Source organism: Homo sapiens, chromosome 3 (genome assembly GCF_000001405.40).
Source record: "Homo sapiens chromosome 3, GRCh38.p14 Primary Assembly".
Taxonomy (NCBI): Eukaryota; Metazoa; Chordata; class Mammalia; order Primates; family Hominidae; genus Homo; species Homo sapiens.
In genome coordinates this window covers 5,185,851-5,212,708 of record NC_000003.12, presented here as the reverse complement: position 1 = coordinate 5,212,708, position 26,858 = coordinate 5,185,851, and the positions used below count along the sequence as shown (strand labels likewise).

The 26,858-nt window shown below is 43.7% G+C and overlaps 1 protein-coding gene across 7 annotated transcripts in view, besides 10 other annotated features; it reads right to left on the bottom strand.

The window, feature by feature from the left end:
* EDEM1 (ER degradation enhancing alpha-mannosidase like protein 1) overlaps positions 1-25,002 on the bottom strand; it is a 32,252-nt gene extending 7,250 nt beyond the window's left edge. The window contains exons 1-11 of one of the 7 annotated variants that reach the window (XM_011534272.3): positions 24,395-25,002; positions 20,377-20,439; positions 17,428-17,500; positions 13,014-13,117; positions 10,785-10,956; positions 9,560-9,743; positions 7,468-7,642; positions 5,436-5,556; positions 4,446-4,616; positions 2,461-2,534; positions 1,493-1,589 (exon numbers count right to left, since the gene is read on the bottom strand). In XM_011534272.3, the coding sequence (XP_011532574.1) occupies positions 1,493-1,589; positions 2,461-2,534; positions 4,446-4,616; positions 5,436-5,556; positions 7,468-7,642; positions 9,560-9,743; positions 10,785-10,956; positions 13,014-13,117; positions 17,428-17,500; positions 20,377-20,405 (1,200 nt within the window). In that variant the 5' untranslated portion in view covers positions 20,406-20,439; positions 24,395-25,002. The other 6 variants (NM_014674.3, XM_047449264.1, XM_047449266.1 and 3 more) reach the window with 6 other exon arrangements.
* Positions 6,955-7,194: an enhancer, noted in NCBI's record as "active region_19384". NCBI's record gives its function as "activates an Ori minimal core promoter by ATAC-STARR-seq in GM12878 lymphoblastoid cells {active_cell/tissue: GM12878}" and the evidence as "EXISTENCE:reporter gene assay evidence [ECO:0000049][PMID:35858748]".
* Positions 14,878-15,057: an enhancer, noted in NCBI's record as "active region_19383". NCBI's record gives its function as "activates an Ori minimal core promoter by ATAC-STARR-seq in GM12878 lymphoblastoid cells {active_cell/tissue: GM12878}" and the evidence as "EXISTENCE:reporter gene assay evidence [ECO:0000049][PMID:35858748]".
* Positions 17,620-17,689: an enhancer, noted in NCBI's record as "active region_19382". NCBI's record gives its function as "activates an Ori minimal core promoter by ATAC-STARR-seq in GM12878 lymphoblastoid cells {active_cell/tissue: GM12878}" and the evidence as "EXISTENCE:reporter gene assay evidence [ECO:0000049][PMID:35858748]".
* Positions 18,090-18,159: an enhancer, noted in NCBI's record as "active region_19381". NCBI's record gives its function as "activates an Ori minimal core promoter by ATAC-STARR-seq in GM12878 lymphoblastoid cells {active_cell/tissue: GM12878}" and the evidence as "EXISTENCE:reporter gene assay evidence [ECO:0000049][PMID:35858748]".
* Positions 22,897-23,016: a silencer, noted in NCBI's record as "silent region_14027". NCBI's record gives its function as "represses an Ori minimal core promoter by ATAC-STARR-seq in GM12878 lymphoblastoid cells {active_cell/tissue: GM12878}" and the evidence as "EXISTENCE:reporter gene assay evidence [ECO:0000049][PMID:35858748]".
* Positions 24,014-24,063: an enhancer, noted in NCBI's record as "active region_19380". NCBI's record gives its function as "activates an Ori minimal core promoter by ATAC-STARR-seq in GM12878 lymphoblastoid cells {active_cell/tissue: GM12878}" and the evidence as "EXISTENCE:reporter gene assay evidence [ECO:0000049][PMID:35858748]".
* Positions 24,214-24,503: a silencer, noted in NCBI's record as "silent region_14026". NCBI's record gives its function as "represses an Ori minimal core promoter by ATAC-STARR-seq in GM12878 lymphoblastoid cells {active_cell/tissue: GM12878}" and the evidence as "EXISTENCE:reporter gene assay evidence [ECO:0000049][PMID:35858748]".
* Positions 24,554-24,723: a silencer, noted in NCBI's record as "silent region_14025". NCBI's record gives its function as "represses an Ori minimal core promoter by ATAC-STARR-seq in GM12878 lymphoblastoid cells {active_cell/tissue: GM12878}" and the evidence as "EXISTENCE:reporter gene assay evidence [ECO:0000049][PMID:35858748]".
* Positions 24,964-25,373: a silencer, noted in NCBI's record as "silent region_14024". NCBI's record gives its function as "represses an Ori minimal core promoter by ATAC-STARR-seq in GM12878 lymphoblastoid cells {active_cell/tissue: GM12878}" and the evidence as "EXISTENCE:reporter gene assay evidence [ECO:0000049][PMID:35858748]".
* Positions 26,485-26,544: an enhancer, noted in NCBI's record as "active region_19379". NCBI's record gives its function as "activates an Ori minimal core promoter by ATAC-STARR-seq in GM12878 lymphoblastoid cells {active_cell/tissue: GM12878}" and the evidence as "EXISTENCE:reporter gene assay evidence [ECO:0000049][PMID:35858748]".

Genomic DNA, 26,858 nt, shown 5'->3' with positions numbered 1-26,858 from the left:
CAACAGTGCAGGAGAAGGCAAGTGTTCTGTGAATGTTGAATGAATGAATACCTAGAAACTCTTTGAAACTTTATTGGTCACCTAAACTATTTCAAGATGAGGAAAAATGAGATTCAGTGCAGCTTGTCAATGTTTACACAGTAACAAGAGAAGAACAGGGTAGACCACAGGTTTTCCTCTCCCCAGACTCTAGGTTCTTTCAGCTAGCACACCCTCCAGGGTCACCTTCCTTTTACTCTAAAACTCGCCCTGTTAACGTCCTTCTGACACCAGTGGCTGCTGGATGGAAATATGTAGCTAGGCTCTGACCAGCCTGATTTAGCAGAACTGAGCCACCTGCAAGGAGAGCAAGAACCACTGCACACACAGGAATCGACAGCAGGACAGCTGTCTTCCCACTGGACAGATCACATGGGCTGCTGGTGGACATACCTCTGCAGTCATCTGTGAAAAGACCCCAGACAGAGAAGAGTATCGTCTTAATGGATTAGACCAGCAGCTCCAAAACCTGGCTCATGTGAAACCACTGGAGGCACTTGTCAAAATGACAGATTTCTGAGCCCGCTTATTCTGAAGATTCTGACTTAATATGGCTGTCATCTTAGCAAGGGCCCCAGGGTGATTTGGACCCAGCTAGCCCCAGGCCTAGGAACCACGGAACTAGATAAACACAATTTATCACAGCTGCTTCTATCTCTGACCCTCTGCCCAAGTTCTCAGTTGCCATGCTATCTTCTAACCTGGAAATCCTGCCCTCTGTTTCTATGTGGCCATACTGAGGAAAGTGGCAGGGGGCACGAGAGTGGCTGTATGCACGAGGCAGAGCGGTGAGATGGAAAGAGCACCAGACAGGGAGTCAGGACCACAGTTCACACCTCAGCTCTGCCACAGCCATCGCCATACTTTGAGCAAGTCGCCTGACCTCTGTGTAGGCTGTAGTTCTTGTGAGGGAAATGATGAACATATGAACATTAGGTAATACCAAAGGGTTCGTCCAGGTCCAGAAATTCTCTCTCTCTACACACACACACACACACACACACACACACACACACTCACTCACTCATGTGCCTGAGGATGTGTGTATGGACAGAGACAAGGCTGAGCTGCAGGTCTTGGCTAAGATCACATACATCAAGAGAAGTGAGAAGCCATTATGAACACAGCTCTCTTCCTCAGAGGCGTCTTCCCCGACCACCTGTAGTTAGATACAGAACTAACACTGGTTCTGTATCAATCGTTACCAGGATTTCCCACAGTTTGTAATCATAAGTTCAGTTCTTGGTTTACTTGACAAATGACTTTTCAACAAGGTTGGAAACCATGAAAGAAGATAGTAATATCCTTTGGTTCTGACAGCGTTTGCATCCTGGGAATGCACAATGTCCAGCACATAGCTTTAGCCAGTAAGTACCTGTCAGATGGAAGACTATGCGAATGCTTGCTCTAAGCAATACTAAATATTCCTGGGTTCATCTTGCAACACACATACCAGATACAAATATTTACAGGTCTCACTGAGAAAGAAGCTCTCCATCCGGTCTTCTGTGGACTTGTCAATGACGTGATGCAGCGTGGCGTACCCACACCTACAAAACAATCATCTGGTCAGTCCTGCCTCTCTTCCTTCCCACCTGCTGATTCACTTAAGAAGCAGAAACATTCTCTTATCAGAATAATCAACCAGTCATCCAACACCATATGAAACTATGTTTACATTGAGGGGCTCTCCTTTTTTATAGCCTGGGTTGTTTGCAAATTTACTTAGCAAGTGCTTTTGGCTGCTAAATTATCAGGTGAGTTAGAGGGTGTGGGCGTGGTGGCGGGGTGCTGGCCAGAAGCATAACGTGGCACCAGGAAAATGACCGGCAACAAATGTAAAAGGACTAATTTAAATTTCTAGTCCTAATACTTGTAGAATTGACTTATTATTGAGAATTGACTTATTATTTGAGTATTGACTTATTATTTAAGATAGTACTTAAAAAAAAAAACTTACAGCAGGTAAAAAAAAGCATGTCACAAAATTGAAATATAGAGTATGTTTCTTATATATACATATATACACACATCATATATAAAAATATTTAAAAGATTATAAGTACATACATTTCAATACTGACTACAGTTTTCTCTGTATGTGGAGATTACAGTGATAATATTCTACTGCTTTATATTTTCTGTACTCCCTAAACATTTTAGCGTATATGTTATTATATAACTAGGGGAAAGAAGTTAGAATGAACACCCATAATCTGCTAGAACCTCACGGAAAAGAAAGGGCAGTTCTCAGTACAATGGAAAGGTTCTACTACACCAAAAGGTAAGCAATTTCCCTGTAAATGTAACATTAATGACCTGGTTCTATAAATTAAAATGCAAACTAGGATATTTCCCCAAAACAATTTGAAATAAATTAAAAGTGGCTGACAGAAAAAGGTAGGAACTTAGAAAACTGACTTGACTTTTGTGTACTTTTCCAGACTCTGCAGAATATCCATTCCTACATGGAGGTAGAAGGGATTCTTGGTTGCCTAGAGAGAACACGAGAGAATGTGATCCAGCATGGGCTTGGAAGACATGCCATCGACAAACATCATGGTGACTGCGGGGCTTCCCCATGGAGACGAGTCGCCAGCCAAAGGAAGAAACAGGGCCCAGGTCATTTATCTTGCAGGGTCACAATGGTTAGAGGACTAAGGTACTCCGTCAGTTCACATCAAAGAGTACCTGTGATTTGGTTAACTTTAGCCAGGGGTAAGACCATCTGTTCCAGGGTAGAACAATAGTCTACTTTGGTTGCCATCATGATTAGAAACAAAACAATGCCCACGCTGACAGCACCATATCTGAGAACAAATCCAATTTCTATCTTGCCTCAGAACTCTCCAGAAACTTAAGACACAGGCACAGGAAAGAGGACCTTGCCGCCATTCCAGTTATGGCACCATGAGGAAAGGCTGATGGGAACAAGACTTTCCGAAGTATGAAAGGAGGCCGCCACCCTTTCCTTTCTAATCACCCTGAGAAATCAGTCCTCAGTTGCCTACTCTTCTCACACATACTCTTAGATGGTTTTACTAGAGAAAAACTTCTCTGGGAAGATAAGCCTTTATCCAACAAACAGTTTAAAAGTTGGGGATCTTTAATTCATGCCTAGTGCCAGATTGCAGCAACAAACAACAAGGTTAGCAGTCTCCAGATTAAAAGTGCACAGGGTGTGGCTTCGGAGGGTAAAGCTGAAGAGTGCAAGACATCTCTGTCAACGTGAAGGAGAAACGGAAAACATGAAAGAAGCAGTGACAGAAACAAAGAGGAGTAAGCTCACAGGCCACAGGACTAAGCTTAAGAGAAGAAATCAGCCAGTAACCGGCACGCCATCCTCCGTGTACAGTCTTTCTACTGGGCTCAGAAAGGCCAAACAGGTGGCTATTATCTTTTCCCTTTTTTGAGAGGTTACCTAAAACTCATGAAGTCCCTTTTTAGGCATGAGGACTACTACCAGTTTCACAGGATTTCTTTCCCCTTTTTTCATCTGAAGCAAACGGCAAGGATTTGGTATAAAAAAATTGTTGAATAAATAAATTCAAATCTTAGTGTTAGCTCCACTACCAGAGTTTCTAAAACTCCCCACTACCAGAGTTTCTAAAACTCAGGCCCTGCTTGCTAGGGCTGGCCCACGGTGGGCATCTGTTACCGGCCTACTGAATTTCACCAAGGCCAGTTTCTTGGTGAGTTAACCACTCGTGCTGCTGTGCATGTGGATGGAGGAGGACTCTCAGTGTGTATATATGTATGGCATACACAGAAGTATAAATACCTGGCTTCAACCGTCAGGAAGAAGACATTTCACAGTTAAAGTCACATTCCCTCTACCACTGAAGTAATTTCACAAAGGATGAACACTATTACATATATATGTGTGTGTGTGTGTGTGTATATATATATACACACACACACACACAAACACAAACATTAAACAAAAACAGGCATCCAGATGAATCCAAGATGATTTCCTTTACAACCAAGAAAATGAATTTTCTTTTTGTCTGAATAGTTGTTACACAGACCGGGGCTCCACAGTACACTGATGCAGAATTGCATCCTAAAAACGGGTCTTCTGGTCACATACATTTGGAAAACACCTTAGTACCAAATCTTCCTCATGAATACTTAAAGATGTGAGTTATAAGTCCTACGGTAAAAACATGATTCAGCTTTGTAGAATATTAGGTTAAAAACATATTTGACTGCAGATGCCTTCTCTGTCCTGTGAAGTTACGAATGACACTGAACACTAACAAGACTACGGATAGGGGGTAACTCAATCAGAGTCACTATGAAACAACATAACCCTAAATCACTCAGCAAATGTTCATTAAGAATGAACTGCTGGGGTCAGGGGAGGCAGTGAAAGGAAAAAAAAAAAAACACAACTCTAGTACCTGGTAGAGGAGATATGTGGATTCCACTAACTCTGGTCTCAGTGGGTAGAAGAGAACGTCAGGGGCCTGCAGCTGCCAGTTATATCTCTCAGGGAGGGCACCATATCGTTTCCATATGGCATAGTAGAAGGCATGAAGGCAGATGGCATCTTCCACATCTCCTATCAGCACCTAAGGAGAGGACACAGGTCATCAGGCTGAGATACCATTCCTAGAGTGACAAGACATGGCACAAAGGGCCTGCCTGGGCTCTCCTCTGCCCCCGAGTTCTTAGTTGACCTACACATACGGTTAAAGACAAAACCAACCCAAAAGTGACAACCCAGACAAATAAATGCCCTCCCTATCTGGCCACTAATGCCAAATTGATGTGAGCTGCACACAGAAAAAGAGATTACGTGTACTCATGAACAAGGAATAAACAACTGAGCGATGGATTATCCAAAAATCTCACACAGCCCAGCACAGTGCCTCATGCCAGTAATCCCAGCACTTTGAGAGGCTGAGGCGGGCAGATCACCTAAGGCCTGGAGTTCGAGACCAGCCTGGACAACACAGTGAAACCCCGTCTCTACTAAAAGTACAAAAAATTAGCCGGATGTGGTGGCAGGCGCCTGTAATCCCAGCTACCCTGGAGGCTGAGGCAGGAGAATCTCTTGAACCCAGGAGGCGGAGGTTGCAGTGAGCCAAGATTGCGCCACTGCACTCCAGCCTGAGCAACAGAGGAAGACTTCATCTCAAAACAAAAACAAACAAAAACAAAAATCACACACAGTCACTTCTCAAGCACGGTTTTGCACTTGTGTGGAATGGCTCTGTTCAATATTCTGGAGACTAATTTCTCAAACAGAGAGATGAAGACGTATAGTGTCAGTGACCTCCCAAATCCAAAGGAGACAGAGAATGCTCAGGGTATTAAAAAAGAAAGAAAAGGAGGGAGAAGCCCTTTCTGGTGATTGGTTATTCTTAGGAAATCTGATGGCAAAATACCTGCAGTCCAGGGAAAAAGGCCTGCAGAGAGTCAATCCAGGTGTTCATCAGCTGCCCACTGAACATGTTCACGTTGACATAGAGTGGAGGGTCTCCTTCTCCTTCATTGCAGGCTTCCCGCCTGCAAACCCAAGCAGCACATTCAGTGGTGAAAAGAAAGCTCACTGACAGATCTCTACCTCTCCAGCAGCTGCTGGTAGTTTCATTTAAACGGAATTAACATTAATTTTTTCTCCTAACTCATTCCTTAAACCTCTGCAGACAGACTGCCTTTAATTATCTACATTAGACTCTAGCAGAAGATAATATTTTCCACAGGATCAAAGTTCCTAACGCAGCCATTGTAATATGTCAGGATTTCACAGTATTCTGCAGAAAGCACTTTGAGCTTTGGGTTTAAGAGCCCTGCCACATAAGAGAATTCAGTATATAGTATGGGCCTATGCTGGATTTCACCTGAGCAGAAAAGCTTGGTTCTTTTGGTACAAAGAGTCTCTTCTCTAGTAATGTCCTACAGCATGGGCCTGGAGAAATGCATCAGAGCAAGACCCTTGGGGATTACTGCTCAATTTAGTTTGTGGCTTTGAAAAGCAAAAATAAATAAATTCCACTCAAAAGGCCCCTTACTTAAACATAGCACATACAAGTGGTTCCTACAACAGCAATGTAGAAATGGACCCAAGAAAATCCAAGCAGGAAGCTCAGTAGCTATAACTTGCACTGAAACTGGACACTTAACATAGAAATACATACAAAGAAAGATCTGGGGGCCAGGTGTGGTGGCTCACACCTGTAATCCCAGCACTTTGGGAGGCCGAGGCGGGTGGATCACGAGGTCAGGAGTTTGAGACCAGCCTGACCAACATGGTGAAACCCCATCTCTACTAAAAATACAAAAATCAGCCAGGCAAGGTGGTGCACGGCTGTGATCCCAGCTACTCAGGAGGCTGAGGCAGGAGAATCGCTTGAACGCAGGAGGCAGAGGTTGCAGTGAGCCAAGATCGTACCACTGTACTCCAGCCTGGGTGACAGAGCAAGACTCTGACTCAAAAAAAAAAAAAAAGAAAGATCTGGGAAAGAGAGTGACACTACGTAGAAGCCACTGTAGCTTCAAATGGCTCTCTCTCTCCTGTCATCCTGGAGGAACAACAGAAAATGGTGAATAATGTTTTAAACAAACTCAGAGAGAAAAAAAAATGTGGTAACTGTCCTTTCTATCACCAAGTATAAAAACCAATCCTAACAGTTCTTTGTAAAGTATTAGAACCAAAACATTGTCCTGCATTGCAGATCTATCTGCAATTAAAGCCACAGTTAAACACTGGGATGTGTCAGCCCCTGTAGTAGCAGCAAGTCTCTAAGACGGCCCCCGAGAACCTCCATCCGTGCGAGCCACACGCTTGCACAGCCCCCTCCCACACTGAATGTATCATTTTGATCTGGGTGACTAATGGTCTGGCAGAAGTATTGGTATATCATTCCCAGACTAGTCATGAAAGCACTGTGGTTGCCATTTTGGCCTCTTTCTTTTTCTCTCAGATCACTCACTCTGGGGGAAGCCAGTGGCCATAAGCTACCTACAAAGAGGCCCCTTGGCAAAGAACTGAGCCCTCCAGCCAACAGCCAAAGAGGAACTGAAGACTGCCAGCAACCAAAGTGAGCCTGGAAGGGGATCTCCCAGCACCATTGGGCCTTAGCATGGCTGTGGCCCTGGCCACCAGCTTGACAACAACCTCAGGAGAGATCCTGGGCCAGAATGACTGGCTCAGCTGCTCCTGGATTACTGTCCCTAAGAAACTTCATGAGATAATGCTTGTTGTTTTAAGCCACTAGGTTCTGGGGTACTATGCTATGCAGCGACAGAAAGATAACACAGCTCTTTGCCCCCAGATGACTGACAAACTAGGAGAGGTGGTAAGGTGAGGGCAGAGATAAACAGACCCTGTGATTGTGTGTTAAAAAAAATACAAACGCTTCAGAATGCATTCTATTTGCTTTACAAGGCAACAGAGGAGATGTTAGGGAGACATACCCTCTTCTTAAGTAGTTCTGAATACTCTGATATGCAGCATTAAACATTTCTAGGTCTTCTTTTTCTCCAAAGAGAATGTAAGATTTCAAGAGGTATTCATAGAAGGAGTCCAGCCCGGCACCCAGGCCACTCTGCTTTCCAACCCAGTGGCCCGTCTGAATGTTCACGACATTGCCTGCAAAAATAAACAAGGCACTTGAGGTCCCAGCTGTCTCATCGGGGAGGACATGAATGGAGACAGGCCTCCTACTCCAACCACACTGCTCCTCAGCACCTTTATCCTTGGCATACAGGAGAAGGAGGTGGTTGCTTGGACCTAACATTTTTATCAGTCTTATCACTAACTTAGCCTAGACATCTTCTAAATATATAGCATTTACTGACACAAACATGGGGATAAACATTTAATGCAAAATAAAAATAGGTTTCTCATTTTGCTTTTCCAGATTGACGATGCATTTCAAAACCCAAGAGTTTTTCACAGACTTTAACCCAGTACTGCCATTCCTGGGAATTTATCCAAAAAAAGATGATTTTAAAAAGAAAAAGTGGCCAGGCATGATGGCTCACACTTACAATCCCAGCACTTTGGGAAGCCGAGGCAGGTGGATCGCTTGAGCTCAGGAGTTCGAGACCAGCCTGGGCAACATGGTGAAACTCTGTCTCTACCAAAAATACAAAAAATTTGCTGGGTGCGATGGCAGGTGCCTGTAGTGCCAGCTACTCAGGAGGCTGAGATGGGGGGTTCACTTGATCCCAGGGATCACTTGAGCCTGGGAGGAAGAGGTTGCAGTGAGCAGAGACTGTGCCACTGCCGTCCAGCCTGGGTGATGGAGGGAGACCCTGTCTCAAAAGACAAAAAAAAAAAGAAAAGGGAAAAGATAATTTTTTTTAATAATAAAAACAACAACAAAAGTGGTCATTATGAATGCAAGGCAACAACCTGGAAACAAATGATCTGCCAAATGTCAGGCAGAATCAAAATATATGTTTATATTATAATGAAAAATATATAGAAGTTACACAGGCCAGGCTGAAAGGGTCTATGGAAACCTAAAAAGTTGACAATCGGGAGTGACACTGGTCAACTATTTGGTGATAGGCTGACAATTTGAGTGACTTCTTTATTTCTATTGCTGTTGTTAAATACAACAAATGTATACATAAATTTCAGAACTTAAGACAGTTACATGAGTTAAAATAACACCTAGGCTGGGCACAGTGGCTTACACCTGTAATTCCAGTACTTTGTGAGGCCAAGGTGGGAGAATTGCTTGCGCTCAGGAGTTTGAGACTAGTCAGGCAACATAGTGAGACCCTGTCTCTACATAAAATAAACAAAATTAGCTGGACATGGTGGCACAAGCCGGTCGTCTCAGCTACTTGGGAGGCTGAGGTGGGAGGATCACTGAACCCGGCAAGTGGAGGCCGCAGTGAGCCAAGATCACACCACTGAACTCCAGCCTAGGTGACACAGTGAGACCCTAACTCAAAATAAATAAATAAATAAAATAACACCTTGAGTTAGCAAAATACTGATAATTAGTGAAGACAAATGATGAGTACATAGGGGTCATTATTCATCATACTTTCTCTCTACTATATTATGAAATTTTCCATAATAATTTTTAAGTAACATCTTCACCAAACATTCTAAAGGGAAAAAACCCCACCTCACACAGGTTTAATCTGGACTTTCAATCTACTACCACAGGCCCAGATTTTTTAAAAGGAAAAAGCTGCTCCATCAGTAACTCTAAATTCCTATATTTAGAACCTTACATTGAAGCAATAAAATCTGCCTCAGAGGCAGTTCTTTTTACGGCATTTCCATTAACAATAATTTTCAAGTGGAATATGCCAGGGGATCCGAATCAGAAGGGAGCCCTCAAACACAAAAGCTTAATGCTTTTCCATCAGACCATGCAGCCTCTCTGCAAAGGGTCACATAAAGAAATTAGATAGAGCTGACACAATTCTTGCTGAGTTGTCAATTGAGTTGAAGAGTAAAAAGGGGGCAGAGCCCAGAGAAGATGAAAGGAAAAGGGGACCAAGCAGTGTGCAGTCCCAATGGCGAGGAAAGGTGCCACACCTAGTAATCCTGTATCATTGCTCCGGAGGTTCCAAAGGGCTTTCACTGCTCGTCTGGCCACCCACTCAAATGTGGAGTCCCCCAGGAGTCGACTCAGAATCCCAAATTCCACCAGGAGGGAACCGGCTCCCGCTGTGCATGTCTCATTATTGGTGTCAGGAGGAACTCCTGTCTTTAGATTCACCTGGGGATGGGAACAGACAAAGACTGTGACAAAACTCAAGGAATCCACAGAGCTGAAAAGCCGGGTCTCAGAGACTACACTCAGCTAATAAACCAAGCTTACCACGGTGAGAGTCTGCCCTCTGCCTTCCAAGATACATCTGAGGTGAATACGGGAATTAAATTTAAAAGACACAAACAAGACAATAAGAACAGCAGAGCCTTGCTTTATTAATAAGAGCAAGTCTTCAGGGAATGGCTATAACACTTCACTAAACCTTCTCTTTCCAGCAGGTTTTCTTCATGGTAACACAGGCACCAGGCTTTAGGGTTAGAGACAAAGGCAAACTATAGAATTTCTTCTAAATTTTAAATGAACCACTATGAACTCACTCCTGCTCAGCACCTAAACAAACCTCAAACTGGGCAAGAAAGGAGGCACTACCAGAATATGACAGCCAGTTTCATCATGAAGGCTCTGTGCTCTGGCAGTTCTCAGTCAGTTACCTAAAAGGCTGACTCAATTCCCAGAGGAGTTCTGGGCTTGGCAAATCAGATGTCACAAATATATAATCTAATTCCAGATCCTGGCATTTAAATCAGCAGCTAACTTGCTGGTCTGTGCAGCCTTTATTTGAAAGATCCACGTGAAGCATTGAAAAGAACACTCACTGAGCTCCCGCAATACCCATGTGAGGATCTCTGGGAAAACAGACCCAAGTCAGAGATGAAGACAAACTCCCCACACTGCTTTGTAGCAGAGAATATAAATCACACATGTAAATGGACTTAAGAATACTGAACTTCACAGAACATCTACTCTTTAAGGGGAAGGAATAAGTCAGATATATCACTGTTTGCCTTTCATACAGTGGATGTTCAGTAAATGCTGAATGAATTTTAAAATATTTACATCATATTTAAGGCCAAATTCTTCTAAGGACACTGCTTTTCTCATCTACCTCCATCCCATTCCTTCTCCCAAATAAATTAGTAAGCAAAGAATTTTAATTCAGGAAGATAGTGAATTGTCAAACACAAAGGGTCAAACCAGTCTACCCACCCGAGGATATGGAATCCCTGTCTTGGTGTTTTCAAAAGCAGGGAGGAGCCGCACCGCCAGGTCATGGGCCATGTATAACAACTCATTATCATAGTCCTTAATTGTCATGTCACCAAAGGGCTGCTTGGAGTCAGTTATTATTCTGTGAGCAGAAAGGAGGCTTCCCAGGACCCTAATGACAGGAAGAACAAAAAGATAATACAATCGTGTTGCTTGTAAATGCACATAATCCAATTCAGAAAGATAGAAGTATGTTCATATCCACATAGACTCAGAACTGCCTGACGTCAGAGAGACCTGACTTAATGGACTCTTGAATTCCTTTCTAGCTCTAAGAATACACGATTGATTTTTGTTAACCATATTACTAAAAGAGAGAAAGGGAATCATTTATTCGAGACTACCAAAAACAATGCTATTTAAAATAGTAACAATTTTGGTAATCTAAATCTTAGGGCATTAAGAAAAGGGAGTTGGCTGGGTGCGGTGGCTCACGCCTGTAGTCCCAGCACTTTGCCAAGAGAGATGCATCTCTTGAGGCCAGGAGTTCAAGACTAGCCTGGGCAACAAGGCAAGACCCTGTCTCTATTAAAAATAAAAAAAATTAGCCGCATGTAGTGGCACACACCAGTAGTCCTAGTAGCTACTTGGGAGGCTGAGGCAGGACGATCTCTTGAACCTAGAAATTGAAGACTGCTACAATCATGCCACTACACTTTAGCCTGTGTAACAGAGCAGGACCCTGTCTCTTAAAAAAAAAAATAAGAGTGTACTAACTGTTCTCAGAATAAATATTACCTATTAGTATTATTAAATTACTCCTGATTTATTTCACTTGGGGAAAACACTCATAAAAAAACAGAAGCTGGGCATGGTGACATTTGCCTGTAGTCCCAGCTATTTGGGAGGCTGAGGTGGGAGGATCGCTTGAGCCCAGGAGTTCAAGGCTGCAGTGAGCCGTGATAGCACCACTGCACTTCAGCCTGGGCAACAGAGCAAGACCCTGCTCTAAAATGAAAAAAAAAATTTAATTTAATTCAAATTAAAAAAAAAAAAACAGAGAAAGGTAAGACAACAAATACTAAGTAATTTTTGTTGTTTTGGCTGCCAAGCAACTTCCCTAACACCGTAACATCTGGTAAAGAGGCAAGGTGAAGAGGAGGAGGAAAAAATGACCTACTAAGAGGCAGCAGGCTACCAGCTTATACCTAAGTCCTTGTAGACCCATAAAGTCCCATTCTAAAGATCTGAAGTAGGCTGTGATATATGTCAGAACAAAGGTTTTCACCAATTTAATTTTAAATAAGTATTACATCTGTGAACTGGAATGTTATGCAGTTGATACAATTTTCAAAAGATGTAAACAGGAAAATAACCACAATGTATCAAAAAAAGCAATATACAATATACTAGGTATACAGCATGATCCCAATCCACTAAACAAATAGAGAAAAAGAGAGAGACAGAGAGAGAAATAGAAGTGAGAGATATACCTAACAAAGAAATATACTAAAATGGTAAGCAGTGATTTTCTGTGGGTGGTAAGATGGGAAACTCTCATTTCCTTCAGAAATATGTAGGGGTTGTCCTAGGACACGGTGAAAGAAGAAAATGAAATCAGACTATAAAGGGAAACCATGAAATTCTGTACTAGACAGACACCTATTTTACACCCCCGTTAAAACATAAATGTACCCAGGCATGGTGGCTCATGCCTGTTATCCCAGCACTTTGGGAGGCCAAGGCAGGCGGATCACTTGAGGTCAGGAGTTCGAGACCAGCCTGGCCAACATGGTGAAATCTCATCTCTACTGAAAATACAAAACTTAGGTGTGGTGGTGAGTGCCTGTAATCCCAGCTACTCTGGAGGCTGAGATATGAGAATGCCTTGAACCTGGGAGGTGGAGATTGCAGTGAGCCAAGATTGCACCACTGCCCTCCAGCCTAGGTGGCAGAGACTCCATTTCAAAAAAAAAAAAAAAAAGAGTTTAATCTATAAAAACAAAACAAAATACAAACGTGTCTTTCCCTTCAGTCCGGAATGTGATTACTTTGAAATAATTGTTCCAGTTTTGACAGATATGAACATGAAAAATGCACACTGCACCCATAAAGCCCATATGGACTCCCTGCCTGGATCATGTGGCAAAAAGACCCTCAAAGGTATTTTTTTCTTTAAACACATAAAAAGAAGTCTCCAATTCATTTTATGAATATTCATTATTTTACCTTATCGTGGCCTCAAAGACTTGGACGGTGGAATCTTTGTCAAATGAAACTGTGTTGATCACTAACTTGACGGCTTTCTGGAACTCGGATGAATTTCCCATTATCTTTAAAAAGAGGAACACAGGTCATTACAGCAACTTGAAATGAAACTGAGGCTGTATCATCACAGCAGCCCAGTCACGTCACCTAAATGTCTGTATGTGGTTTTGCTACCATAGGAGTAGAAACACAAGAGACAGAAAAGCAGTTATTTCTTAGCATATATTCCCAGCACATGGCTGGCCCATTTCCTCCAACTCAAGAGTCCTGTCTCCAAAGGACAAAACTGTGAAAATAATTCCTTGTAAAATCATTGGCACTCCTCATCTTCCCAACTCCACTCTCCAGCAAACTTCACTATGATCTTATTTAACATGCCAGGCATTGTGGTTTCTAAAACTTCTGGCAGGTATACAAATAAATCAGAAAACTGAAGAAACAAAAATATGTCTTTCTCTCTGCTCCTCAAATAAATCAGCAGCTTGGGTGCTTGGCTCCCAGGAGACCAAAACATGTGGAAAACTGAATGAACTTGTTGATTGTTATCCAGATGCCTAAACACTTTGAGAAATAGTGGTAATATCTTTTGGAGCACAGGATAAAACCAGTGACTGATTTAAAAGAAACAAAACATATGAATAATCAGCTCTATGTCCTTTTTAAAAAGTGATCTAGAATTATGATTCCTATTTTGGGTATGTAGATACGACGTCACACTAAGCCACTCTCTCCTATGTGAAGCACAGTTGGGCATCAAACTTTATAGATTAACCTGAATCAAAATTATTTCATTCCACTCTAAATTTTATGACAACCCTGAGACTATAATGACATCATAAGGACATACTGTGATAGAAAAATAAATTTCTGGGACCCCAAAATCACTAAGCCAAAGGGAAAAGTCAAGCTAGGAACTGCATCAGGCAAACCTGCCTCCCATTTTATTCCTAAATAAGATAGCTACAAAGATTCAAAAAAAAAAAAAAAAAAAAAAGCTATATACGTCCCTTACAATTTACCTACAAGGAAATTCCTTGTGGGCCTCAAGATCTTCCCCTCAAAACAATTCTGCTGAATTTCACCCAGGCAATGTAAATTGACAGTTTATCTTCACAGGTACAAACAAAGGACAGAACTCAGTCATCCCTCTGCTCACCTAAGAAAAATGCATATCTGATTGCTTCCTCTGCCCTACTGTTTATGTAAAACTGCAGATTCACTAAGCCAGACAAAGGCATAAGTGACTATTCCTCTACCTTTGTCACAGGTAAACTGTATATTCCGTGAAAGGCTAATCAGAGAGTCAACCGGCTGGACACGGTGGCTCAGGTCTGTAAGCCCATACTTAGGGAGGCCAAAGCGAGCGGATCACTTCAGGCCAAGAGTTCAAAACCAGCCTGGCCAACATGGCAAAACCTTGTCTCTACTAAAAATACAAAAAATTAGCCAGGCGTGGTGGCGCATGCCTGTAATCCCAGCTACTCGGGAGGCTGAGGCACAAGAACTGCTTGAACCCCTGGGAAGGTGGAGGGTGCAGTGAGCCGAGATCTCACCACTGCACTCCAGCCTGGGCAACACAGCAAGACTCTGTCTCAAAAAAAAAAGACAAAAAAAATGTAACCATTTGTCTTTTATCTGCCTGTGACTTGGAAGTGCCCCCTCACCCCACCCCCAGCACTTCAAGTTGTCTCACTTTTCTGGACTGAACCAATGTACATCTTACACATACTGATTGATGTCTCATGTCTCCCTACAATGTATAAAACCAAGCTGTGCCTAACTACATTTTTTCCACCTCATCGTTATTTTGCTGTAACCTACAGAGTAAGTACAGACATTTCTAGCTTTCAGTTCTTTCTTTTTAGAAGATGATGCAATAATGCTGCAAGTTGCATCCAATGGTCAGGGGACTGCTATCTTCACAGTGTTTCCCTAGCACATCTGTTAAAGCCTGTTTAAATGTTAGCAAAAGAAAAGGAAAACTTCAACAGAAGTAACACCTGAAAAATAAGCCTGAAGCACTAAAGGCCGGATATTCTACAATGAAAACCACAGAGATGAGTCTGTTTCCTTACAGATGTTTACCAGCAACAATATCTGGTGAAGCTGCAGGTGCTGACAGGAGCTCAAATCAAGTGAGGAAGGTGAAGGAAGTCAACAGCTCTTACTTATTGTAGTTTATCATTATGGTCAGATAGCTATAGAATCCTGAGTGACTATGTTCTGAAATCACACTAATGTTTGAAAATGGCTGAATGGGACAGAGGAGCTAAATGGGTTTGTTTGTTTGACTGTAGGACTTCTCAGAGTCTTTAAAATGCTGATGGGCACTGTGGCTCTCTAATAGTGGGACCAGACATACGGAATTTCTCAAGTTCATTTAGAAACAGAACTCTTCTTTCAGGGAGTAAGTATCTTTGGAATCTGTGTTGGGAAATGCTTCATTAGTCAGAATTCATTTTTTGAACAAACATTTGCACTGCTACTGTGCACCAGACACCATTAAGTGTGGGGGAGAGTATGGTGAACAACAGAATAGCAGGCAAGATGGAGGGATAAAAAAACAAAATGGGGAAAAAAAAAAAAAAAAAAGCCAGCTACTCGGGAGGCTGAGGCAGGCGAATCACTCGAACCCAGGAGCTGAAGGTTGAAGTGAGCCAAGATCACGCCACAGCACTCCAGCCTGGCGGCAGAGCGAGACTCTCTCAAAAAAAAAAAAAAGAAAAGAAAAGAAAAGAAAAGACGACGACGATGACAAAGCTCTCAGGGACAAGGAGTAGGCTTTCATGAGCTATACATTGAGTCTTAGGACGTTTCCTTTAAGCAACACTTGTAGGCTGAGTCAGCCTCTGGTATCATCAACAAATTAGCTCTAAGGTCGAACATACTTGTCTGGGCACATTTTGATCAGTGATGGTAAATGACTGAAACAGAGCAGCAATAACTTCAGAAGGAGATATTGGGAAACTAAGTTGCTTTGTAATTTAAATTATACTAAATCAGTACCCCAGATTTCCTATTAGACCAAGGGCCTAGTCCTATTTCTACTACTTATTTATAAAATGAGGACGTAGAATGATCTCTCAAGCTCTTTCCAAGTTCTGGTAATTCTACTACTAGCAAGATACTAGACAATCATAATGCAAACTTGGCTAGCACATTACCCAATTCTTGTGTGTGTGTGTGTGTGTGTGTCTCCAGAGATGGAGTCTCACTCTGTTGCCCAGGCTACAGTGCAGTGGCGCAATCTCAGCTGACTGCAACCTCTGACTCCTGGGTTCAAGCATTTCTCCTGCCTCAGCCTCTTGAAGAGCTGGGACCACAGGCGCCCGCCACCATGCCCAGCTAATTTTTGTACTTTTAGTAGAGAAGGGGTTTCACCATGTTGGTCAGGCTGGTCTCAAACTCCTGACCTCAGCTGATCCTCCCACCTCAACCGCCCTAAGTGCTGGGATTACAGGCGTGAGCCACTGCGCCCGGCCCCAATTCTATCTCCTAACAGACAGCTTTAAACTCTTCTATGGCATGTTAAAAGAAACAAGAATAAATAAAAGTACAACATTTGGGCTAGACTGCAATAAGATATTTCTCATGGTAAAGACTTGCTGGACAATGAAGGAAAGCAAAGAGGTTGTAAAAATCACCTTAACTAAGAAGATTTTAAAACAACACTATGCTGGAATACAGTCCCCTGGAAACTGCTTTAATGGCAAAAGGTGAAGCAGATGAAGCACACAGACATGGCACCATGTACTGAGTGCCACACTGCCTTCAAGGTGCTTCTGCATATCTGCTCAAAGGCCTCTAGTTCTCCAGAGTCAATGAGCAAAACCACAGGATGAGGCAGTAATGCCAGCACCCACGTTGGCAGCTCAGGCATGGAGTGTCCACAAAACAGGAAGTGGCAAATAAAAGAGAAGGGTTTCTAGGGAGCCCCACATAAGGATGGGCGCTAGGGCTCCAACTTGCTCCTGGGGGAGCCAGTGGCTAGATGACATTTCAGGGTACCTGCCAACCCTTAGATCTTCTCTCTTTTACTCCTGGAATAGCAACGACTATAATTATCAATATTAATGAGCTTCATTATGGGTTCTTTTAGGGAATAAGATAGAAACTGGTTAAAAAAAAATAGGTTCCCTAAAATCAATCGTACATTCCTTCTCCTTTTTTTAATGGAATCACATTTCCCCTCATTTAACCTTCAACACTTTTCTTGTTCTCCCCATTAAGGTCATTAAAATAAATAACAGTTATCAAAGCTAATGATACATTTTGACTTATCAGGCTCCCTGGAATTCCCACTGCTGGAGGGAACTAGGGATAATCAACTCTAAAACATCTTAATTCATTTTTTTAAAAAAAGGTGAACACTTACTGCAAGTGTATCCAATGCATCAACAAGAGTCAATGAGTAGTTCCCTAGTACATCATTGATGTTCAGATTTGAACTGAAAAAGAAAATTAAAATTCAACAAAAAGACTTTATTTCAAAAGAGAAGACAATAAAAGTAAACACCCATCAGAAACTATAATTGCCAGCAACTCTTATTTATTCAGGAACTAATTATGGGTGAATTAATACAGCAAAGGTCTTTCTACCCCCAAAGTAACACTTTCTATGGTGTCCATAAGTAGAATCAAGTCACAGAACTGTGGAGACACACTTGTACCAGAGTGGAAAGAATGCTCACAGGAAGTCAGGAGGCAGTGAGTCATCTCCTCTCTGAGATTCAGGTTTATCACCATAGACAATCTCCTTGGTCCTGTCCAACTTTAAAAAGCTCTGATTTCACAATCATTAGGAACTAAAGAAGAGCCCTTGTCATACGACCCACCTGTAATACTTTAATACAGAAATTAGACACCACAGCCTATATTACACACAAAAAGAAGTAAATACATTAATTGACAGTGTCAATATTACTCATCTGCCCTATGGTTGGGGGTATAAATTAACTTCTTTACACCATTTCTTCATTAATAACTCATCCAAAGGGTCTTGATTATTTCCGTTAATTCTGAGATATCATTTAACATGAACCTAGGCAGGAATTGAGGCCTTTCTCACTTCTTGACTGGAGCTACATAAACGTTTCTGCCACACACCTCTCACCCCATAATCTACACCAATTTTCCATTCTGAAACAACCTTAAGAAACCAACTTCAGGATGACAAGGGTGAAGCTCCTCAGGCACTGTGGTATGTCTTTGTAACACTTTACAAAAAAGTCAACAACAAAAAAACTAATACATCTGGGAGAATAGGGATGAAGAACTAGTAAAATAAAGGACAGTTTGAGAAATTCTGGGGACTTCATTTATTTATTTGTCCCATTCCCAAAAATCCAGAAAATAAGTGCAGAAGCTTGGAAAAAATGATAGTAAGAGAAGACATAAGACAACTGTTTAAAGATTTTATTAGCAACCAAAGCAAAAAAGCTCCAGTTTTATTTCCAGCAAGATGCATTGATATCTGCAGTCTTCCATCATATCCCAAAGCACTTCATCTGCTCCTCGGATCACCCTAATGGGTCCTTATCTCACCTTCCAGTCAGAGAAGCTTCTGGTGCACAGCACCTCTCGTGTTGTGATGGCTTGCTGTGGTCTCTGAAAGGCCTGTGCCTCAGCTGGGGAAAATGGGGCTTATGTGAAAGAGGCATAACAGCTCCAATGTCTCATTTTATTTGAACCCTCCAGTTGCCTTGTTTTATGCTGTTACACCATCTAATCTAAAGCAAAGAATTTATAGTAAAATTTTAGGCTGGGTGCGGTGGCTCACGCCTGTAATCCCAGCACTTTGGGAGGCCGAGGTGGGTGGATCATCCAAGGTCAGGAGTTCAAGACCAGCCTGGCCAACATGGCAAGACCCTGTCTCTACTAAAAATACAAAAATTAGCTGGGCGTGGTGGCAGGCGCCTGTAATCCCAGCTACTAGGGAGGCTGAGGCAGAAGAATTACTTGAACTCAGGAGGCGGAGGTTGCGGTGAGCCGAGATCATGCCATTGCACTCCAGCCTGGGCAACAAGAGCGAAACTCTGTCTCAAAAAAAAAAAAAATTTTAGATACTGTTTTTTTGAAACGAGATATATATGGGGGCTATAGTCTAGGAACTAGGGCTAGCTCATTTCCTATAAGCTGGGAAGTCAGAAAACTGCTTGGCTGGAAAATTGTACCTGTTTTTTCTATTTGTTGATTTTCTGGAAATAAACTTATACAATAGCAAAAGGTCCCCTCAAAGCAAGAGCTATGGATTCAAATATGCCTCTCAAGCGCAAGTGACAGCCAAAAAAGGTACAAAAAGTGCAAGGGTTGCAGGAGGGGCTCAAAGGAGACAGGGAGATCCTTACGCCCAATTCTGCCAACTCAAGAATGTTCTGCTCTGTGTAAATATTTCACTCTGTTGCTCTGCCGCTTAGAAACAGAGTGGGCTTCAACAGCCCACCTCATCAGAAAACAGCTCCCTCATCATGTAGCATCCAAGCTAGATGGTAATCAGGAGAACCACATGTAACTCCCCTCTCCTGAGTCACACCCAGATCTGCGGCATGTGTCATTCTATCCACCTGCACAGGCCCATGGAAGGAAGGTACTCACTGTGAGCACTGAACTCCTTTCTATGTTTTATTGTGCTTTGCCTTGTAATCTATAACTAAAATAGACCCAGTTTTAAAATATTTTTTACAATGCCCAGTCACTAAAAATTAATGAGCTGCCACAGTAAAAAAAAAAAAAAAAATTACTTGCAGTAACTGTGGGGTTTCTTCTCTCCACTCTAGTCAGACAAATCCTCTCTAAGATCTGGGGTATTTACTCATTAGAACACTTTTAATTCTTTCTTACCAAATAATTGCTACATCCTCTTTCAAAAGGTGCCAAAATAAGGGGGAAGTGGGAGTGAGGATGAAGGAAGAAAAAAAAACACCATAAAACTCTACTGGCCTAACAGCATGAAATTATTATGACTCCATTTATGCCAGCCCACTATGCAGCTCAGACTCTGGATTTGTTCTTTGTAGATATTCTTGTCAATCTCCAGCCTAACCTGATACCTTTAAGTTCATCCAGCAAGAACTCAATACCTTTCCCTGTAACCAGCTGGCTGAACCGCACAACTAAACGCTCCACTTACTTCACCAGGTACAAATGTTCATGGCATTCACCCCACTGTAAATTTTTAAAGTTCACCTCAAAACAGAAAAGATGGAGAAAACCATGGCCTTTGATAGAAAATTTTTGATTATGTAGCTAACAAAATCAAACATATGTGTTTTTAAATTTAAATTCCCATGTATACTTAACCTGTAACAGCTGTTCAGAAATCTACCTGGTGTGGTGTAGGCACAGAGATAACATAAGAAACAGTCCCTGCGTTCAAGGGATTGATAATCTGGAGAGACAAGACAAAGGGAAATGCAGGTGAATACACAACAGTACTCAATCCTCAAATAAGGTTAAAATGTAGAATCGCAGCTCAAAGGAAAGGAATCAAAAGAAGAACTGAGCAAATAAAGGAAAATCATCTTCAAACAGTTAGATGGTGTCACGGAAACAAGAGGAGCCTGACTCTGAAAGAGGGCAGGACTTTCCAAAGAAAGAGGAATGCAGAGGAGGCCATCTTGAGCTAGTAGTACCTAAGCATTTGAGGGGCCAATATTTGTTTGGCTTAATTTGAGATTTGTTTTGTTGTTTTAATAGCAATACAGTTGAGAAGAAATTGAGAATGGTCACATGCCCAAAAGCCAGAACTACAGTTAACCATTCACAGGATTACAAAAATATAATATCCACATTTACTCAAAGAAACTTTAAATTTGGATCCTCCAACCCAAATTAAGGATGTGAGAACTGACTTTGCATAGTTATCTTAGACAGATCTGCTCTTTTTAGAGTGTTCAGGTTTTATTCACTTCATGTTAACTCCTTACCTGATACCTCCCCAAGAACAAGTCACATGTACTTGAGGCAAGATAAGTTTGGAGCATATATGACTACAGAGAAACGGTAAGAGTGTTTAGCACCGAAATTTTCTATGTGTACTTTTTATATAATACTCTAATGGCAAATTCACTCTTGTTAAATGAGTCATTAGAATACATTTGATTTTTTAAAATCTGAAAGATTTTTGGCTGGGCTTGGTGGCTCACACCTATAATCTCAGCACTTTGGGAGGCCAAGGCGGGAAGACTGCTTGAGGCCAGGGGTTTGAGACCATCCTGGGCAACAAAGTAAGACCCCACTTCTACAGAAAAATTAAAAAAAAAAAAAATTAGCCGAGCATGGTGGGGCACACCTCTAGTCCCAGCTATTCGGGAGGCTGAGGCAGGAGGACTGCTTGAGCCCAGGAGTTCAAGGCTGCAGTGAGCAATGATTATGCCACTGCACTCCAGCCTGGGTGACAGAACAATACCCTGTCAATTAAACAAACAAACAAAAAATATGAAAAATTTTTATTACAGATTATTTAGTTTGGGGATGTGAAGTACCCTCCTGTTTCAAAGCCAGCATGACAATACTCTGGTTTTAAACTTTCCTCAAGGCCTAGTATTCGATAGCATAACAGGAGGACTACAGTCAATAATAATTTAACTGTACATTTTAAAATAACTAAAAGTATAATTGGATTGTTTGTAACACAAAAGAAAAATGCTTGAGGGGTTGGATACCCAATTTTCCATGATGTGATTATTACAAATTGCATGCCTGTGCCAAAATATCTCATGTACCCTATAAATATATACACCTACTGTGTATCCTCAAAAATTAAAAATAAATTTTTTTAAAAAATATTTAAAAAAAAGCAAAGCCTGAGAGGAGTTAAAGGAAGGAGAGTACAAAAAATTAAGTTTTCCACTGTTTGTAAGTGGCAAGTGTGAGGCGTCCATGCAAGGCTTCTTTGGCCTCCTCAAAGACAACAAAGGTTTACCAACCAACGGGCCTACCCAGCTCAGGGCACAACCCTTCCCTAATGCCATCCCCACCTCCTCAATACTTCTAAAACCCTCTTTCCAATAACACATCTGTCTCAAAGCAACCTGACCTTAACTTACGCATAACCAAACCAATGCATAACCAAACCAAAACACTCATCGGCAGCCTTCATCCTGAAATAAAGGCCAACAGCACACATGATACCACAAAGACCAGCAAGTTAAATCAACCACCACCTCACTTTGCTGGGAAGGGATTCTTAAGGTTCTCCAGAAGCGCTTTTAAGGTTCATTAAGAAAAACATTAAAATGTCATCAACTCACTCTCCAAACCGTCATATTCTCAAATGAAAGTGTTATCACAATTCCCCGTTAAACTGTTTTCAACTTCAGTCCACCTGATAAAAGGTAATCTGAGAAACAGTCTGTGAGCAGGAATAAAGGCACTTATTGGAAGTGCTCTCTCCCTTCTTGTAATACCAAGAGCACTAGTGGAAAAGCACAAATTAAGATCCAAAATATGTACACATACTATGATTGCAACTATGTAAAACATGCATAGACATATGGGTAGGAACTAGTGGCAAAAATAAATTTAAAATAGCTGGTGGGATTTTATGATATTTTTCAAACTTTAATGATGTTGATTTAAAAAGAAAAAACATCAAAGCATGATGTAGGCTGACAACAAAAAAAAGACCACAATTAAATGAAGTTTATCCCCCCCCCCAAAAAAAAAACTAAGAAAGAAAATACATTTATAGGTATAAAGTCCCCTCTAGTTAAGTGAGCCAAATAATTCATTCATTTCTTAAAATCTGGAAAGACCATGGCCGGGAGCGGTGGCTCACGCCTGTAATCCCAGCACTTTGGGAGGCCCAGGCGGGTGGATCACGAGGTCAGGAGATGAGACCATCCTGGCTAATACGGTGAAACCCCGTCTCTACTAAAAATACAAAAAATTAGCCGGGCGTGGTGGCACGAGTCTGTAGTCCCAGCTACTCGGGAGGCTGAGGCAGGAGAATCACTTTAACCACAGAGGCGGAGGTTGCAGTGAGCGGAGATCGCGCCACTGCACTCCAGCCTGGGCGACAAAGCGAGACTCCGTCTCAAAAAACAAACAAAAAATCTGGAAAGGCCAAATACTTTTTTTTCAAAATTTAATATTTTTTCTCAAAAAAATTGAGATAGAAAATACACTTATACGTATAAACGCTATGGTTAAGCAAGAAAAACTCATCGGTTTCCTAGAATTTTGAAAAGGCTCAGTCCTTTGAATTTAGCTTGGGATGTCCCCTTGCTTCGGTAGAAATCATGCTCTCAAACTGCAATTTAAAACATAAATGTGTAAATAACCACACCATTTTAAAAACCCAACTCCGTTTAGTCTATAGGCTTCCTTATCAGAACCTAAGGACTGGACTCCACTGCTTTCCTCCAGGTGAAGGAAAATGCTTGCCCCAGACGGTGCCAAGACACTGAGCAAACCAACTCCTCCACTCCCATCCAGGGGAGGGGAGTCAACTATTTGGACTAACAGGGTCTATGGCAATGCACATTCCTTCCCTACAGGTAAGAGGTCCTTAGCTGGGTGTACTGCCCTCTTGGACTTTGATGTCAACAGTGGTGACCCTTGGAGCTCAGCCTTTGCAAACAAGGCTGGTGAACAGGGAAGACTGCCTGACCTTCCCGGACAACCACGCCACCAGAGGCGGGGGATTTATAGACAGATCGTACAGGGCGATGACGTTGACAGTCAATCTGGCATCCAGTGAATTTCACCTCAAGTATCTGGACCCCAAAAGTGGGCCACATAGCTTCCCTCCCCACCACCTAACTATCCTCAGCCTAAGAAGCAGCCCCTGTGAAGGAGAGGCTGTAACCCCGTTCTGCCTCAAACTCAATGGACGGCTTTGGAGAAGTCAACTATAGGCTTTTTACATAGAAAAGACGTGGGTGTGGCAATGTGATAGAGGTGGGGGTGCGAGGTAAAGGCTTGTTCTGAGGCTGCGTTTACACGGGGGGCATGATGGAGATTTCATTTAGAGTTTATGCTCATCCGGAGGAAGGGGTCGGATGGAAGTGGAAAGCCCTCCAAGCCAGCCCTTGGCACTGCCACTGTCCCTTCTGGTCCTGGACCTCAGTATCCTCACGCGTAAGACACTGAGCTGGACAGCAGTTCTGAAGTTTGGAGATTCCGGGAGAATCAGGAGAGGAAGGCCACCGGCCCACCCCGCACCCTCAAGCTCGGGGGTCTTCACAGGGACTCACACGGGACAGGGCGCGGGAGCGCTGCCCGGGACCCTAACGGCCCTGGCGCCCTCGGGGGCCCCGGAGGACAGAGGGCTGCACCCCGGCGCGGAGGGCGGAAGGAAGCGCGTGGGCGCGCGGCCCCGGGCGGCGGGGGCTACTCACGGGTCCCCGCGGTCGGGCCCACGGCCGCGGCAGTGGATGGGGTTGAGCTCGTCCTGGGGGAAGGCGTGAGCCATGTAGTTGTCGTAGCCAAAGACGAACATGCCCCGTGCCAGGTCGCGCATCTGGGCACGCAGCTGCGGAGGGAAGGCGCCGCTGTAGCGCTTCTCGTACTCGTCCGGGCCGCGGCCCCGGCCGCCCAGCACGTAGCCCCAGTTGGCTGGGCCGCACATCCCCGGCCCAGGACGCCGCGGAGCCTTGCGCGGGCTCTGCGCTGCCCCGGTCCCCGGCGGCTGCAGCCACGACGGCCCGGATACCCCCCCAGGCCGGCCCACGGGCCCCGAGGTGGGCGACGCGGGGCCGTCGGGGCTCCTCAGACGCTGGAAGCCGAAGCTGAGCGGAAAGCGCTGGTAGAAGCCCATGCTGGGCCCCAGCCCGAAGACGAGCCACAATACTCCATGGAGGCCAAGCCGGAGGAGCACCAGCCCCAGGACGAGCGCTCGCCATTGCATGGTCGCGCGGGCGCCGCGGGCATTATTTTAAAGCGCGGGGGCCTCCCCGCCGACCACCGCACCCCGCGCTCGCCCCGTAGCCCGGCTCGCTTCCCCTTTAAGGAACTCCCCCGTGACGCACCAGGAACTAGCCCATCGTCCCCAACCCCCAGGCTCTCCGGCGGGCCGGCCAGGCCCCACGGTCGCCCGCCCAGTGGCCCGGGATTGGCCCGGCCTGGGCCCGGCCTCGCGGGGCGCGGCCCAGGACTCCCTCCCACGCAGTAGGCCGCCAGGACGTCCGCGACGCCCCGAGGCCCCGCCCCTCACCCGGGCCCCGCCCCAACTCCCAAGCCCCGCCCCCCTGGGCGGTCCGTAGCCCGATGGGCTGGCGTGGCGAGCAGGAGCCGCGCCGGCCCGCGAGGGAACTTCCAGCCAATGGGAGAGCGGCACGGCAGCGCCCGCCGGACGCTGGACACAGACGTGACCCCAGACCGCCTGGCCTTGGGTGGATCGGGTCTCTGGGCAGAGCGTGTGTCCGGCAGAGCTAGGACCGGAAAAAGCCACTCTAGGTCTAGGTTAGGAGTGATGACAGTTAAAAGATATATAAGGAAAAGAAGGAAAGGATCGTTTCTGTATAAAACGAGCTATTTTTGCATATCGAGCGCATAAGTTTTATAACTTAGGTGTCTGTTTATGGAGAGGGTGGGATACTACCTTTTAGCTCAAGGAGTGCACAAAACGGTATCATGAATTCTGCTCTTTTGATTCAAACACCCAACTTTGAAGAATCGCTCATGGTGCTTGTAAAACACGTATCCCCAGATCCCTCCCTAGACCTATCGAACAACTCCAACGGTCTCGGGAATGTGCGTGTAAGTACTCTTGGACAGTTCTTAGAAACTGGAAGTTTCAGGAAATACAAAGTTATGTTATATTGCTTTTGTCTCGGAAATAGGATTTTTTTAAAAGGGGGGGGCGGGTTGGGGGTGGGAATGAAGGCTCCCACCACCACCAAATTATTTACCAGATATATCTAAACATGTCTTCTCCTGTCCCTCCCATCCTACCATCTCTCCTGTGCACCCGCAATTAGTGACCTAACCTTTGAGGTGTGGGGTAGATTCCCAGTTAAATAACTTTACCCCTCTGTATCTACTTCCTATAATTAAGAAGATTGCAAATGTTAGCTCTAAAGGGCTATGGCTTTCACATAAAGATTCAATGGTTTAGGCGCTTATTTATTTTGCTTGCTGCATTTGGAGTTGGCTGTAAGTTTTGCCCTCCCTAAGTTTAGACCCTATGCCTGTTTCATCAGGGTTTCTGAAAAGCTTGGGAAGCAAGACCTGACTAGACCCCCAAATCTGATATTGGCTGAATGGCCGACCAATGGAGTGCATAAGAAGGTAAGTTGTCATGTGGCACTCTCATCACATTTTCAGGGTAGAGGACTTTCTGAAATACAGAGGAGGTGTAAGGGGAACTAAGAAAACACTTGATTACAGCACATGGTAGCTGGCACATAGGAAGGTCCTTACTGTTGGCTGAGCCTTGTTCTTTCCCAACATTGAGACATCGAGAGCAGCCCAAGCAGCAAAAAGATTACGAAGACAGCTTGAGCCAGGGTCTTTAGACTACACAGCTTCTGCTTTTTCCCCTCTGTGAAGGATGCCTAGGGACTGTGCTGGCAGCCCAGCTCCAGCCCTTGATCCTGAACTTCTGCCTTCCTGGAACTTGCAAACTGAATGTGAATATTCAGTTGCATGTTGCATGTTTCCTTCCGGGGCTACTTTATTGCAAATTTTAACTTAAATTTGACCTGGTTAACTGCAGGCCACATTGAGGACAGCTTCTGTCTTGATGTTAGAGAAAAACTCTTATAAAAATAAATCTTTTAATAACCAGAGAAAACCATCCAACTCCTGAAAGATGCTTTTCATAGTAAAACTGATGGTTTTCAAAACACTTTGACATGTGTG